Below are 13,393 nucleotides of genomic sequence, written 5' to 3' on the forward strand. Positions count from 1 at the left end.
TCCTGAGAGCAGTGGGAATTGACTAAAGGATCTGAAGTAGGGGAATAAAATGCTGTTATTTACATTTTATAAAGATGATTTTTACCTACTGCCTGAAAAATAGATTTGGTGGGGTCTCTCATGAGGGGAGTCTCAGAGACAAAATTCCGTCTGAGGGGGGGGTCTCACAGTCAAAACTCTCCAGTTGAGTTTCATATCCTTGCATAAAATGACCCTTGCCATCTCTATTATTTCCCTCCATGTGCACTGTGTCCAGCCACATGGCACACACAGCCATTCTCAAATTTGCCTCCCCACCTAACACAGGGTTATGCTTTTGTCTCAGTTCCCACCACCACCCTCTTCAGCCCCTCACTTCTTTACTAGTTAAAATCTCAAGGAGATTTAGATGAGATTTAGGAATCGAGCTTTGAGTCAGTTGTGCTAAAGGAGGTACACTTGACTCAAAGGCCAATGTCTCCATGAAGATTTTTCACTATTCTTTAAACTCCATGGCACTCGGTATAAAAAATTTGAGCAGCAAAGAAGGAGCACTGAATAAAGAACTGACTTTGGCCTTAACTGTTAAGGCCCAGAGTTATGTGTCTCCTAAGAGTACTCAACATAGAGTACCCCAACCCTCACCAATACACACCCAAGTCCTGGGCTGAAAACCATTATTCCTTTCTTTTAGACTTTTTTTTTTTTTTTTTTGAGACAGGGTCTCACTCTGTTACCCAGGCTAGAGTACAGTGGTGTGATCACAGCTTACTCCATCCTCTGCTTCCCAGGCTCAACTGATCCTCCCACCTCAGCCTCCTGAGTAGCTGAGACTACAGGCGCACACCACTATGCTTGGCTTACGTTTTATTTTTTTTTTGTAGAGATGGGGTCTTGCCACATTGCCCAGGCTAGATTTTTTTTAATGCAGAATTCTATTTAAAAGACAATTTAAAAATACATGTTTATGCTGCTGACATTAAGATCTTATTTGCAGACATGCTTACATACCAACAAAAACTTCAGTTAGCTAATTTTTCTATTTCCATGCTTAATAATCTCCCTCTGATTGTGGGGGAAAGCATGGATATATCTAATGAAATATAGTAAATCCAACAGACTTTAAGAAGAGCTAAGTCTCAATCCTTCCGGGTCTCAATACCCATTTCTTAAAGTTATATTTCTCCTCAAAGCTGCCCTAGAACTGGGTCACAGTTTTATCTAGAAAGCATAGCTAGATTGACTCCAACACAAAGTATCTTACATTACACTTTTCTTTATTGTATATGGTCTACCTACTTCCAAAAGGAATTGCAGGTTCCTTTAAATGACAACTTTCAGTTCCTGGCACTTGCAAACTGCTTAAAGTTTGGCTCCCTGCAACGCTCCATAGAGAGGAGCAGGCGGATCTAATTGAATCACAGTTTGTGGTTCTGCTGTACTCCAACCAACAAATGTAGACAGACCATAATCAGTCACATACATAATTGTGGGTTCTAAAATATCATTTTGTCTAAAAAAAACTCCAACGAAACATGTAAAAATAAGATTTTGGATAAATTAACTTTGACGACATTTGACTAACATTATCTCAAAAATAATTCTACAGGAATCATTTTATGAAAAAAATATACAATCCATATTGGTTTAATTATGAAATTTTGACTCAACGAAACTTAAGAAACGAGCCAACATTTTACTCATGGTCTCTAGAGGCATCTCCTTATTACTCACCTTGATCTCTTTCGTGCCATGTTCGACTTCCAGCAGCTGGTGAACTTGGAGAGGGGTAAAAGTCTCCTGTAGGACTTGGTTCCATATTTTCATCTATGGATATAGTTTTGGGTCTTTTGCTGTTAAAATATGGCAATAGTTATATTAATGGGATTTCTGGGAAGATGTGTACATTTTAAAGTAAATGATCTGAGAAGATCCTTACTGTGAAAATTTTCATAAGCACAAGTAATAATGGTGAGTATAATGGTGAGTATTGAAGATATCAATAGTAATAGCAAATATTTCTAGTTGCATATACCATTTATTAGACCATCTTATACCTAACCTGTCTAACAAATATGGTGTTCATTATATTTATCTTTCAAATGTATTTCCAAAAAAAATTCCACTAATAAAAAGTGAACTCTTAATGTTGTTTGCCTTCTAACATTAAAATTGTGTTATTGTGTACCTGACTCATTATTATTATCAATACTAACAATGTTCCTTTTAATAGCACTTGTCATTGACAATGCAATCCAAAGATAAGGTAATAAAGTAAAACAAGAGCTTTGGGGTCAAGACAGTCCTAGTATAAAATCTTGAGTAGGCCACTTATGAATTGCTAATAGTAAGCTCCTTAACTTATCTAAACTCAGTTTAATCATCTGTAAATTGGAAACAATAAAACCTAGTTCAAAGGCAGACGGTTGGAAGAGTAAAATGAGTTGTTAAATGTAAAGCTTTTAGTTAAGTGGCTGGCATTTAGAAGATACTTATCAAATAGTAATTCTTAGTAATAACCCTATCATTAATAATAAAAAATTATAGTATTTTACTGATTATAAACTATTTCATATATTATTCTTTACTTTTTCTTAAAACTTAGATTATTGATTCTTTATTCTTAAAATCGACTGTGAAAAAAAGAAGGCCACTGCCAAATTCAAACTTTTAAAATGATACTTTTTTTTTTTTTTTTTTTTTGAGACTGGGTCTCACTCTTTCACCTACGATGTAGTACACTGTGGCTCAATCTTGGCTCACAGCAAACTCCACCTCCCAGGCTCAAACAATCCTCCCACCTCAGCCTCCCAAGTAGCTTGAACTATAGGTGCCTGTCACCACACCCAGCTGATTTTAGTATTTTTTGTAGAGATGGGGTTTTGCTATTTTGCCCTGGCTGGTGTTGAATTCCTGGACTCAAGCGATCCTCCCACTTCAGCCTCCCAAAGTGCTGGGATTACAGGCAGGAGCCACTGTGCTCAGCCAAAATGATACATTTTAATATGGAAATATGACTCATCTCAATGAATAAGAAAGGTGACTATCCAGAACAAAGATTAAGAAGCTATTTTATACCCATAGTGGTTGATATACTTCTTTCATATGCCCCCACCAATAAAGCAGACAATTATGAAATTATGACTATAAAAGTGAATTCTTTTCTTTTTTTGTTTGTTTGTTTTTGAGACAGGGTCTCACTCTGTTGTCCAGGCTGGAGTGCAGTTGCATGACCACAGCTCACTGCAGCCTCAAGCTCCTGGGCTCAAGTGATCCTCCTACCACAGCCGCCCAAATAGTTAGGATCACACACACATGCCACCAAGCCTTGCTAATTAAAAAAATTTTTTGTAGAGAGGGAGTTGTCCAGGCTGGTCTTGAACTCCTAGGTTCAAGTGATCCTCCTGCCTGGGCCTCCCAAAGTACTGGGAATCCAGCTGTGAGTCACTGTGCCCAGTGAATATTTTTTCTTTAATTAAAAAAAAAATCTTATTCACACCTATGCTGGTAAAACCTTTTTAAAAATCTTCAAAATTCACTTTTCGCAGCAATAATAACCATAATGTTATAGGATTTCAGCATTGAAATTGACCTCAAAAATCATATACATAAACCAATCCCCTTGTTTTTACAAATGGGGAGACACATTTGGAGAGATTCAGTGGACTGTCCAGGGCAAGTTAATGGAAGCAGTCAGACATAAGGTAAGGACGTCTGACTTCCGCAAGTGTGCTCTTTCCACTGCACTGTGTTTCCAAGCCCTTGAATCATGTATATGCCTGAGTACATTTGTAGATACTCATGATTAATATTTGACTCACAATTCTCAGAGTATTAACGATGTAGAAGATGGCAATTTCTATCCATGCTAAGCTTAGTTTCTTCCCAAAGAATCCAAAGTTAGACCTTACATTTTAACTCTCTTTTAAACATATTCTCTCATCTATGAGTCAGCAGAAAATCTGCCTGAAAAACTTAAAATTGGGGACAAATTACATGCATAAGGAAGTACTAGAGAAATGTTTTTTAAACCTTGCTTACTCTGAAAGACAGTATCTTATATAAAGTAGTCAGGAAGAAAGATCTGTGTTGACAACAGTGATTTAGCAGACAGAATTTAAAAATTACTGCTCACATTTTAAATTTAGAAAAATCAAAGCATTTCTAAGACTTTGATATGTCAGAGACTATTTTAATAATAAACCAAATTATCTTGCTACACAATTTAACTATATGAAAATGGTTTAACCGGAACTGATATAAAATTGATCTTAGTTTATAAACATACACATGCCCAGTCCATAATTAATTCAAATTCAACGAACTTTCACTACTGAGAATACTTTAGAAAAATAAATATACAGGTATCCTTTTATTTTTAAAAAGTTGACATTGTAAAATGAGTGTTTTGCTCTAGAATTCATGTATGCTCTTATATTTGATTACACATATATTTAATGCTCTAGGAATGAGATGGGTCTTGAAGATCTAGCTCAAATAAAAAAAAATTAACACATCTGTAATCTTTATTCACCCTGACTGGCAATTACAATGAGAAGATCAGGAAAAAAAAAATGAGAATGTTAACAGAGAAGTAAAAAGCAAAGAGAACTCTCTCTAGCTGACCCCCAACATAGAATGGTTAAACCAAATCTCAGGGAAGGTAGTATTTTCATTGGTAACAGAGCGTTAATTAAATTAGTCAAAAAACATCAACTAATTGAAGAACTTGGCAAACTGTGGTCTTTAATTTTAAGGCTAGGTAAATGACACATTTTATTTTTTATGTTTCATTATCCTAAGCTTAGATGTAATATTTGGGTAAAAGTTACCAGGAATCAGTTATAAACCAGAGATCATTGCCACAGCAACATCATTTTTAAAGCCATCAAAAGATTTTGTTAACTTGTAGCATTTTAATATTTCCTACAACAGGACAAAAGTCATATTAATATATTTTCCTAGTTACCTGTCCCCCTGAAAAAGATTTTTAAAACTGCTGTGTACAACAATTACATTTAATTTGTAACAGCCAAATAAATTTAACCAGGAAAGATTAAAAATCTGTGTACTACCAGCAAAAATTATTTCCCATCTCTCTTTACCTACCTACCTATCTATCTGCCTATCATCCACCTACGAACCTATGTGTGTATCACTTGAGAATATGAGCAGCCCTTCTTTCAGTACCTGCTTGGTGGAGAAGACAGAGACCTCTGAAGATTGACCCCCGAGTTCATGTCATGATAGTATGGTTGGCTTGGGATTTCTCCAATTGGGAAGTTGACTCCAGTTCCCTGGGTTATGGGCGCTGAGGAATAAGACAAAGAAGCACTGGGAATGACATTCGTATTTCTGACCTCTATTCAAATGTAATAATCGAGAATCTTTCATGCCTCTGGTCAAAGATAGAGAGAACTTTCTTCACCTTAAGCCTCTAATACCCACCATACAACCTGGGTAGGACCTGAAAACTTGCTCACCTTAGCAACGTTCAAGCTTGGAAATTTGAGGCAATCAGATTATAATCACTGGTTACCAATTTCCCGAATCCTATTCCTCAACCTTCTTTACTCACTCCTTTATATTAGTTGACATTACATCTGTCACTCTGCTAGTTAAAAATGCCTTGGAGGAAACAGAATATACGAGTCCTATCACTCAGCAACACCAAACAAGCTGCTTTGCACTACCTAGGCTCTCGAAAACCAAATCATTGTTAAATAAATAAACAGAGAACCGTTTCACAAAAAAAAGCAAAAATCATTATTCACAGCCTCCCAGTTAGGATATGATAATAATTATTAATATCATGACTTCTAATCCACTCAAATATTAATGTTGATATTAATGTTGATAATATAGAATAATAATTTTTGGTTTGTAACACAAAGGATAAATGCTTCAGGTGATGGATACCCCATTTACCCTGATGTGATTATTATGCATTGTATGTCTTTATCAAAATATCTCATGATATTTTGTATAATTACATCTGTTCACATTTTTTAAATTTAATTTTAGATATCATGAACAAAGCTGTGAGGCAGCATATTGTGTTAGAATCAGCAGAGTCTTGAGAGATAAATAGCCTTTTAGTTTAAACTCCCTCTGTATTATAAGTTATGTGCCCTAGTTTCCTAACTGTAAAATGGGAGTAATAATAACCGGACACATAGGATTATTTTGAGGATGAAATGAAATAGGTAGTGATAAGAGCCTAGAATCATGCCTAGTGTATAACACGTGCTCAACCATTGTGAGTTCCCTTCCTTCTTTGCTTTCTCCTCCAAACTTCTTCCCTGGTAGACTGGAATGGTTAGCAAAGATGAACAGTTCAAAAACGTGTTAAAAGCAGAGGAAGAGGTATAAATGAACCTGTTCGCTGAAAATTTGTTCATTCAACAAATTACTGACTGTGTCCACTGCTGGCAGGTGTTGGCTGCAATGTGTACAAAATAGTCTCATATATTGCCCTTAATAAAAATATTGGGCAACAAGCTGGGTAAGTAAAACATTCATGCGAAACACATAAATACCAAAATAGATGAAAATGAAACTGTCCAAATTAATGACATGATCCAAAACTGCTGTAGAATTTCAAGGGAAAAAGAATCCAATACCAGCTTGAATTGTCCAAGAAGTCTGCGAAAAGCCATAGCTGGCACTGGACTCTGGAGAATGAGTAAGAGATTAGAGGGAGGTCATTCTAAACAGGGACTGCTGCAGAAGCAAAATCATAGGTAGAGATAATGTGCAAAGTGGAGACCAGGCAGGTTGGTGTCAAAGAACTCCTTAAGAATAGTTTCCATTTCTTTACCTGTCTTAATCAGCCCTTCAAAAGCTCACACGAAATTGTACTCTGGGGCTTTGCAACAAAATTCTAGAGCCCCTGAGATGCACTCTAAGCATACGTGGTCTACTTAAACTCCTCCTCTCTCCCATCTGCCTCAAGTTGAGTATAAAATTCCAAAGGGATTGCAGATTTTTATGGAAGTTTTCTTACCCCTCATTTTTAATGAATATTCTAAATGTGTTCACTACCCTTTGAATTGTATTTTAATATTAGGCAGGCTAAGATTAACTTAAAATATTTTTAAGAAAGTATGATTAGGAGGTACAAGCTTTATCACAGAGAAGTAACCACGGAATACACAATGAACATCTCCCTTTCTGGACTAAAAATTAAATACATCAGTATATACATGACTAGTAACAGCTCCAAACTTCTGGATTATCTATCAGCCTTCTGATAGATTGTTCATGTTATATAATACACTGTAACATCCTTTACACAGAAAATACTTGTATCCAATGAGTAACTAAGTGCCTGATGGCTTGAATTATTTGGACAGCTAAAATGTAGCTATGTCTGTTGTGGCTTGAGGCACACCAAAGGTTAAAAAAATGTGAGGTAAGAAATCCCACAGTAACCGCATGTTTTATAATTTATTATTAGAACCATGTTCTATATGACACTGGAAGTGGGGTACATGCTAGAAGGAGTATTTCAGGGGCTCAAGTGAAGTAAACAATCTGTCTGGCTTCCTATCACAGTAATGGATACAATTCATAGACCTGAGTTATTAACAGGAAACTTAGAGGTTCCACCTTACATAAACTATTTTCAATTTATTAAGCTCATGCAATATTTAGGCAAAGATTTATAGTTTCTATTGAATACATATGGCTCCATAGTTAACATAATTTGCTTACCCATAAATAAACTAGATGTAATTTGTAGTAAATGATAATTTTAAAATCTTCAGAAATTGTTTTTTTCTAAATTTTGTTCCAGAAAGATTATTCCGCAGTGTCAAGACAGCAATAAAAACGACAAATATAGCATGTTCTCACTCATACATGGGAGCTTAAAAAGTTGATCTCATCGAAGGGGTTGTCAGAGGTGGGGGAGGGTGGGGAGGTGAGGAGATGAAGAGAGATTGGTTAATGGGTAAAAACATACAGTTATAATAGACAGAAAGAATAATTTCCAGTATTTGATAGCACAGCAGGGTGGCTACAGTTAACAACAATATATTACATATTTTAAAATAGCAAAAAAAGAAGATTTGAAACATTCCCAACATGAAGAAATGATAAATGTTTGAGATGACAGATATCCTAAATAGCCTGATTTAATCATTATACACTGTATGCATGGATCCAGAGATCACATGGATTCCATAAATATGTACACATATTATGTTTTAATTTTGTAAAGATAGCAATAAAATAATTTGTCTACGGATTTATGCATGAGCACTGTAAAAATTTAGTATGCATTCTGACACTAAATGGGAGATACAGAAAGGAAAGTAGATTAACAAACACGGCCAAAGTACTAAAACAACACACATGGAAATTATTTAATGACAGAGTGTGTGGGAACAGCAAGTCTCAGTCAGATATTCCTGCTTAAGAGCCTCTGGAAGAACTTACATCAGACGCAAAGATCAGTGTTAGCGCCTCTCCCAGGGAGCTACAAGAAGGCTGAAAGCTGCAAATCATGTTTAAGAGGATGCCGATATCCTCTTAGAAATGAAGCACCAAAGAACCTCAGATTCTAAGGGTTAGAGGCCAACCTTTAATCTCCCTTATTGTTCTCCTCACTCCAAAAGCTGATCCTAAATCAACTTTTAAGATGGAGATAATATCATTCAAAAGAGAGATCACTATCCTAATGCTGAATGGCTTCATTAGCTAAAGTCAACATACACATCAGTGGGTCTTATGATTGTAAAACCCTAGAGGACTGAAAGCACTAGCATACTGTAAACCCTCAAGAAGTCAGAATTTGTGATACACACATAGTGTTGTGCTGAAGTTTATGTTTACTTAGCAAACCCCTATTTCATAAATAATGAAGTTTAATTGTGTAAACAAAGATTATGATGCGGATATATTAAAACACTTAGGAGGAGAACTTATCAGGCCTTTCAGAGACACCTATTTACATATGGAGGAGAAAATAAATGTTTGCTGAATAAATTACGTAATGAATATAGATAATTAATGTGCTAATTACAAATCAGTAATGTTTGTTATAACAAATAACCTAAAAGTTTCTAGGATATGACATTATAAGTTAAGAATGAATGAATGAAGTATATTAAATTTACCTTGGTTTTGAACTGTTCTAGAAAGATAATTTTCATCTTTGTTTTAATGTTTGAAATTCAGATTTTTCAAAATATCTATCTGGGCTTTTGAAGGTTCTAATGTGGTTCTCCTTTGACAGCCCTTAGCATAATATTACCTATCATGAGGTACTAAATAAATATTTTCTGACAGCTGACTCTACTGCCCTACTCCTAAGAAGGATGAAAATATACCATTGAACTTGAACTCAGAGAAGTACAAATTTAAGCAAATAATTTAATAAGCCTCCTAACTGGAGCACCATAAGCCTTTCCGCTAAAGAAGAGTATGGGGAAGACACACACACCCCTTCAGATAACCCCTGTCTTACCTGATGCTACAAAGTGCTACTGGTAAGTCAGGCATATTTCTTCCCAAATTAAAAGTGAAAACTTTCAAATGTTGGATACCTTTGGATATCACATATTGATCTGGAAAAACACATTAAGGTACACTGCCTTGGACAATCTCCTTGCCCATCGAATACACACCCTGGGGCTACCAGAATACAGGATATTTGTGTTTCTTCTCCTACACTGCCACCATGTAAAAAGACCCATGAGAGAAGTCTTTTGGGCATACATTTATCCACTCTAGAATTATACCAGAAAGGATAAACTACTTAAGATCTTAAACGTTCATATGTATCACTCCCTGCTATACATGCTATTTGCACTGTTCACTTTAGAAATGTGAGCTATTTGAGGAACTACGGTTCAAAAGACAGTCAGTGATAGCGTGAAGATTCCTTTACTGAACAACAAGACTCTAAAACACTGCTTATTCTTATCCTCAGTAACTCGATTACTCTTTGTTCTTTCTGGATCATCATAATTCTTATTCATGACCTCTAAATATGACCCAAATGAGAAACACAACTTAGGCAGGTATCAGAGTGTGACTACATCATCTGAATAACATCACTCCGAAGTGTGATGCATTCTATCAAAATGTCAGGTGAAAATATACCCTTCAAAGTTACATAAATAAGCTAAATCAGTGAAGGGAGTATGAAGAAAGGAGTCACCTTCTTTAACATAATTAGTACATATAGATCTGCATCTTGGATATGTTTGTACATGCTAGTAATAAGTAAAAGAGTTAATCAAGGTAACGTCCCCTTTGCTTAGGTAGCCTGCCAGGTGAGCTTAGCCTAGAAAAATCTGATCCAGCCTGCTAAGAATGGTGTCTCAGGTGAAGTGGCCAGTTAAAACAATTGGACATTGTTTTGGATAACAATGCTTTCTATCTATATCCAACTACAATCTGCAAAGTTAATTTCTGCATCCCTCTACACTCTGCACGTTAGTGTGTATATCCTGTGCATCTCCAACCCCCACCAAAATGTTAGTAAAATGAAAAAGCACTTATCTACAGGAAACTTATGTGGGTTATCATAACAACATAGAGTACATTTAATTAATCACACTTCCTTTGATATAAATGGCCATCTATGGTCATGCAGAGAACAGTGAATTAAATGAATACCAATAACATGGCAATCAGAAAAACCCCAAAATTATTTTTGTACAACAAAAAGTTTTGATGATTTGAATGCAAACATTTTAGAAAATCAAGCAAAATATATTGTTATTTCATCAAAGGTTTTAAGATTTTAATTCAAATTTTCCTAATATGTGGTCACTCTTTATACTACATTTAAGGTTCAAAATATAAAGTATTTTAAATCATACTGCATGCTTAAGTAGTAACAAAACAATTTACTTACTTCTGGATACTCTTACAAGTTCTGATACATTGAAGACTCCAGATTTTACAAAACTATCCTCAAGGTAACCTGAAAATAAATATTAAAGGAAAAATGATCAATATAAGCAGAAAGTAAAATAAATGATTATACACTAGAATTTAAGTGTTTTAAAGCCAATGGTTTGAACAAAAACCAAATATGCTTACAATAAGGACTTTAAAAAATGACTCTTAGGAATGCAAATTAGGTTTGTTTAAACAAAAATAAAAAGTTTAGATACCAAATAATCTCTTAGGAAAATTTTTTCTTCCCTTTCTAAAAGTACAGGTTTATTGATGCGGTTTGATTTGCCATGGCCCATGCATACAGAATGGTCTGTGGGCTCTCAGTGAATGCTTTTGACTCGGTAGCACCTGGTAGACTAAAGCGAAAAATGAAAGAAAGAAAAAGGAAACCACAACCACAATTAGCACCTTGCTGGAATAATGTCAAAGATCTCTTAAAGCCACCGTTCTTTTGTAAACCCTTCTCTGATGAAAGAAAAGTGAACTGCTGTTACCAGCACCCCGACCCTTGTTCCAGGGTCACTAATAACATAAAAAGCAGAACTTGTATATACAGCAAATACAGAACTTTGCGTTGACCTATTTCTGGGCATCTTTAATATACGTTGCACGATTTCACTGCTTTCCTCACCCTTGCTACTATTCCACTGGACTCCTTTTATTTCAAGAATTAGACAACTTTTCTGGCAAATGGTGGTGAATCCAGGCCTCTGGGAATGCCACATGACCCTTAAGTCACACCGGGGCAGGGTCCACAGTGGCCATGGAGCCTGCTTGCTAGCTGGTCTATGTCCAAAACTAGAGATGAGAACTCCCACAAACAACAGTAACCCTGCACCCAGCCCACCCCATTCTCATCTATGTTAAGGGGGTGTAATGAGTGTGAGGAATACCTTAGCAGGGGAGGTTATGGCCTACTTGCTTCTGTCCTAGGGTGAGAATAAGTTTGAAAATCCTCAGAATTGAAATACATCTGAGAAACAAACAAACAAAACTAGATTCTAAGAACTGGCAATTTGACTGGATTTTACATAAAGCTTCAGGGCTGACCAAGGAATTAGATGCAGTTCAGAGATGTGAAGCATGGGTAGTGCAGCAACATGGAGCACTGAAATCAAAGAGCTGGGATTTGAATCCTAGCCACAGATGACCAGTTATGAAATCTTGGCTAGGTTATTAGTCCTCTTTTTGCCTCAGATTCCTCACTTAACAAATTGGAGACAATAAAAATCACCTATCTTATAGAGTTGTTACTACTGGAGATAAAAATATAAACCCCATGATAAGCATGTTACCAACAAATTAAGATCTTAGGGCCAGTGGAACCTGCGATCAGCTATATACCGAATTACGCACACTGGCCTCCAGACAGTCCAAAATGATCCGCAAATCTTTATTCAGAAAATTTACCAGAACAAAAGGCACCACACTGCTTTTCAACCATACATAGCATGAAAAGACAGAAAATCATTCAATTAGCATATGTGTTTCACTGCTGTGAACTGAGGAGCCACTGATGTTTGACATCCACCCACCCACCTTCTTTAGAAACAGAATGAAAGAAGGAGTGAGAGGAAGTTGTAAGATCTCAGTAGGGAATAAAACAGGTGCCACATTAAGTCATTATTCTGAAAAATATATATACATTTTTAAGAGTATTATAACAAAATGTCCCAATTTAATGCACTTCTATTTTAAGAAACTCTTATTTCTTGAGCAATTAATTTTTACCAGGTTAAATTCATTTCAGTAATTATTGAGAAACTTCTAAGTAACAATCACTGTACAAGGTGCTAAAAGTCATGAATACAAAAAAGGACACTGACTGTCTTGCCTGGTCGGGGAAAGAGATGTTTTGACTCTTCTGGACCACTGTAACTTACTATCATATAGAAAGATTTTTGTTGCTTTTGTTATTGTTTATAGTTCATTATACTTTATTTTATATAGGGTAAACTTAATAAAGTAAATATATTAAGTACAAAACCTTCTTTATCTTGGGAGGCCGAGGTGGGTGGATCACAAGATCAGGAGTTTGAGACCAGCCTGGCCAATATGGTGAAACCCCATCTCCACTAAAAATACAAAAATTAGCCGGGCATGGTGGCGGGCACCTGTAGTCTCAGCTACTCGGGAGGCCGAGGCAGGAGAATCACTTGAACCCGGAAGGCAGAGGTTGTAGTGAGCCGAGATGGAGCCATTGCATTCCAGTCTGGGCGACAGAACAAGACTCCATCTCAAAAAAAAAAAAAAAACAAAACAAAACAAAAAAACAAAACAACCTCCTTTATCATGACTACAGCTCATATACTTAACCAGTCACACAAGATTATTTTTCATCACCCAATTGTACTTTGTAAATGCCTACCCTTCATATCTTCCTCCTGCAGCTCCCTGAGATGAGATGGCCCTCTTTCTACACACTCTAGTCTCATCCTTCAAAATCCAGCCCAACCACCACCCACTCTGTAAACTGCTCCTCCAACTCCTTCTACCA

At 36.1% G+C, this 13,393-nt stretch overlaps 1 protein-coding gene across 32 annotated transcripts in view; it reads right to left on the reverse strand.

The window, feature by feature from the left end:
• NFIB (nuclear factor I B) overlaps nucleotides 1-13,393 on the reverse strand; it is a 450,235-nt gene that overhangs the window by 63,133 nt on the left and 373,709 nt on the right. For all 32 annotated transcript variants that reach the window (NR_161383.1, NR_161382.1, NR_161384.1 and 29 more), the window contains 3 exons: nucleotides 10,850-10,918; nucleotides 5,170-5,290; nucleotides 1,714-1,832 (listed from right to left, as the gene is read on the reverse strand). Coding sequence is in view for 28 of the 32 variants with exons in the window: in NM_005596.3 (NP_005587.2) it covers nucleotides 1,714-1,832; nucleotides 5,170-5,290; nucleotides 10,850-10,918 (309 nt within the window). In the remaining 4 variants the exon portion in view is untranslated. The remainder of the gene's footprint in view (nucleotides 1-1,713; nucleotides 1,833-5,169; nucleotides 5,291-10,849; nucleotides 10,919-13,393) is intronic.

The sequence above is a fragment of the Homo sapiens genome, chromosome 9 (genome assembly GCF_000001405.40).
Source record: "Homo sapiens chromosome 9, GRCh38.p14 Primary Assembly".
In the NCBI taxonomy this organism is placed as follows: Eukaryota; Metazoa; Chordata; class Mammalia; order Primates; family Hominidae; genus Homo; species Homo sapiens.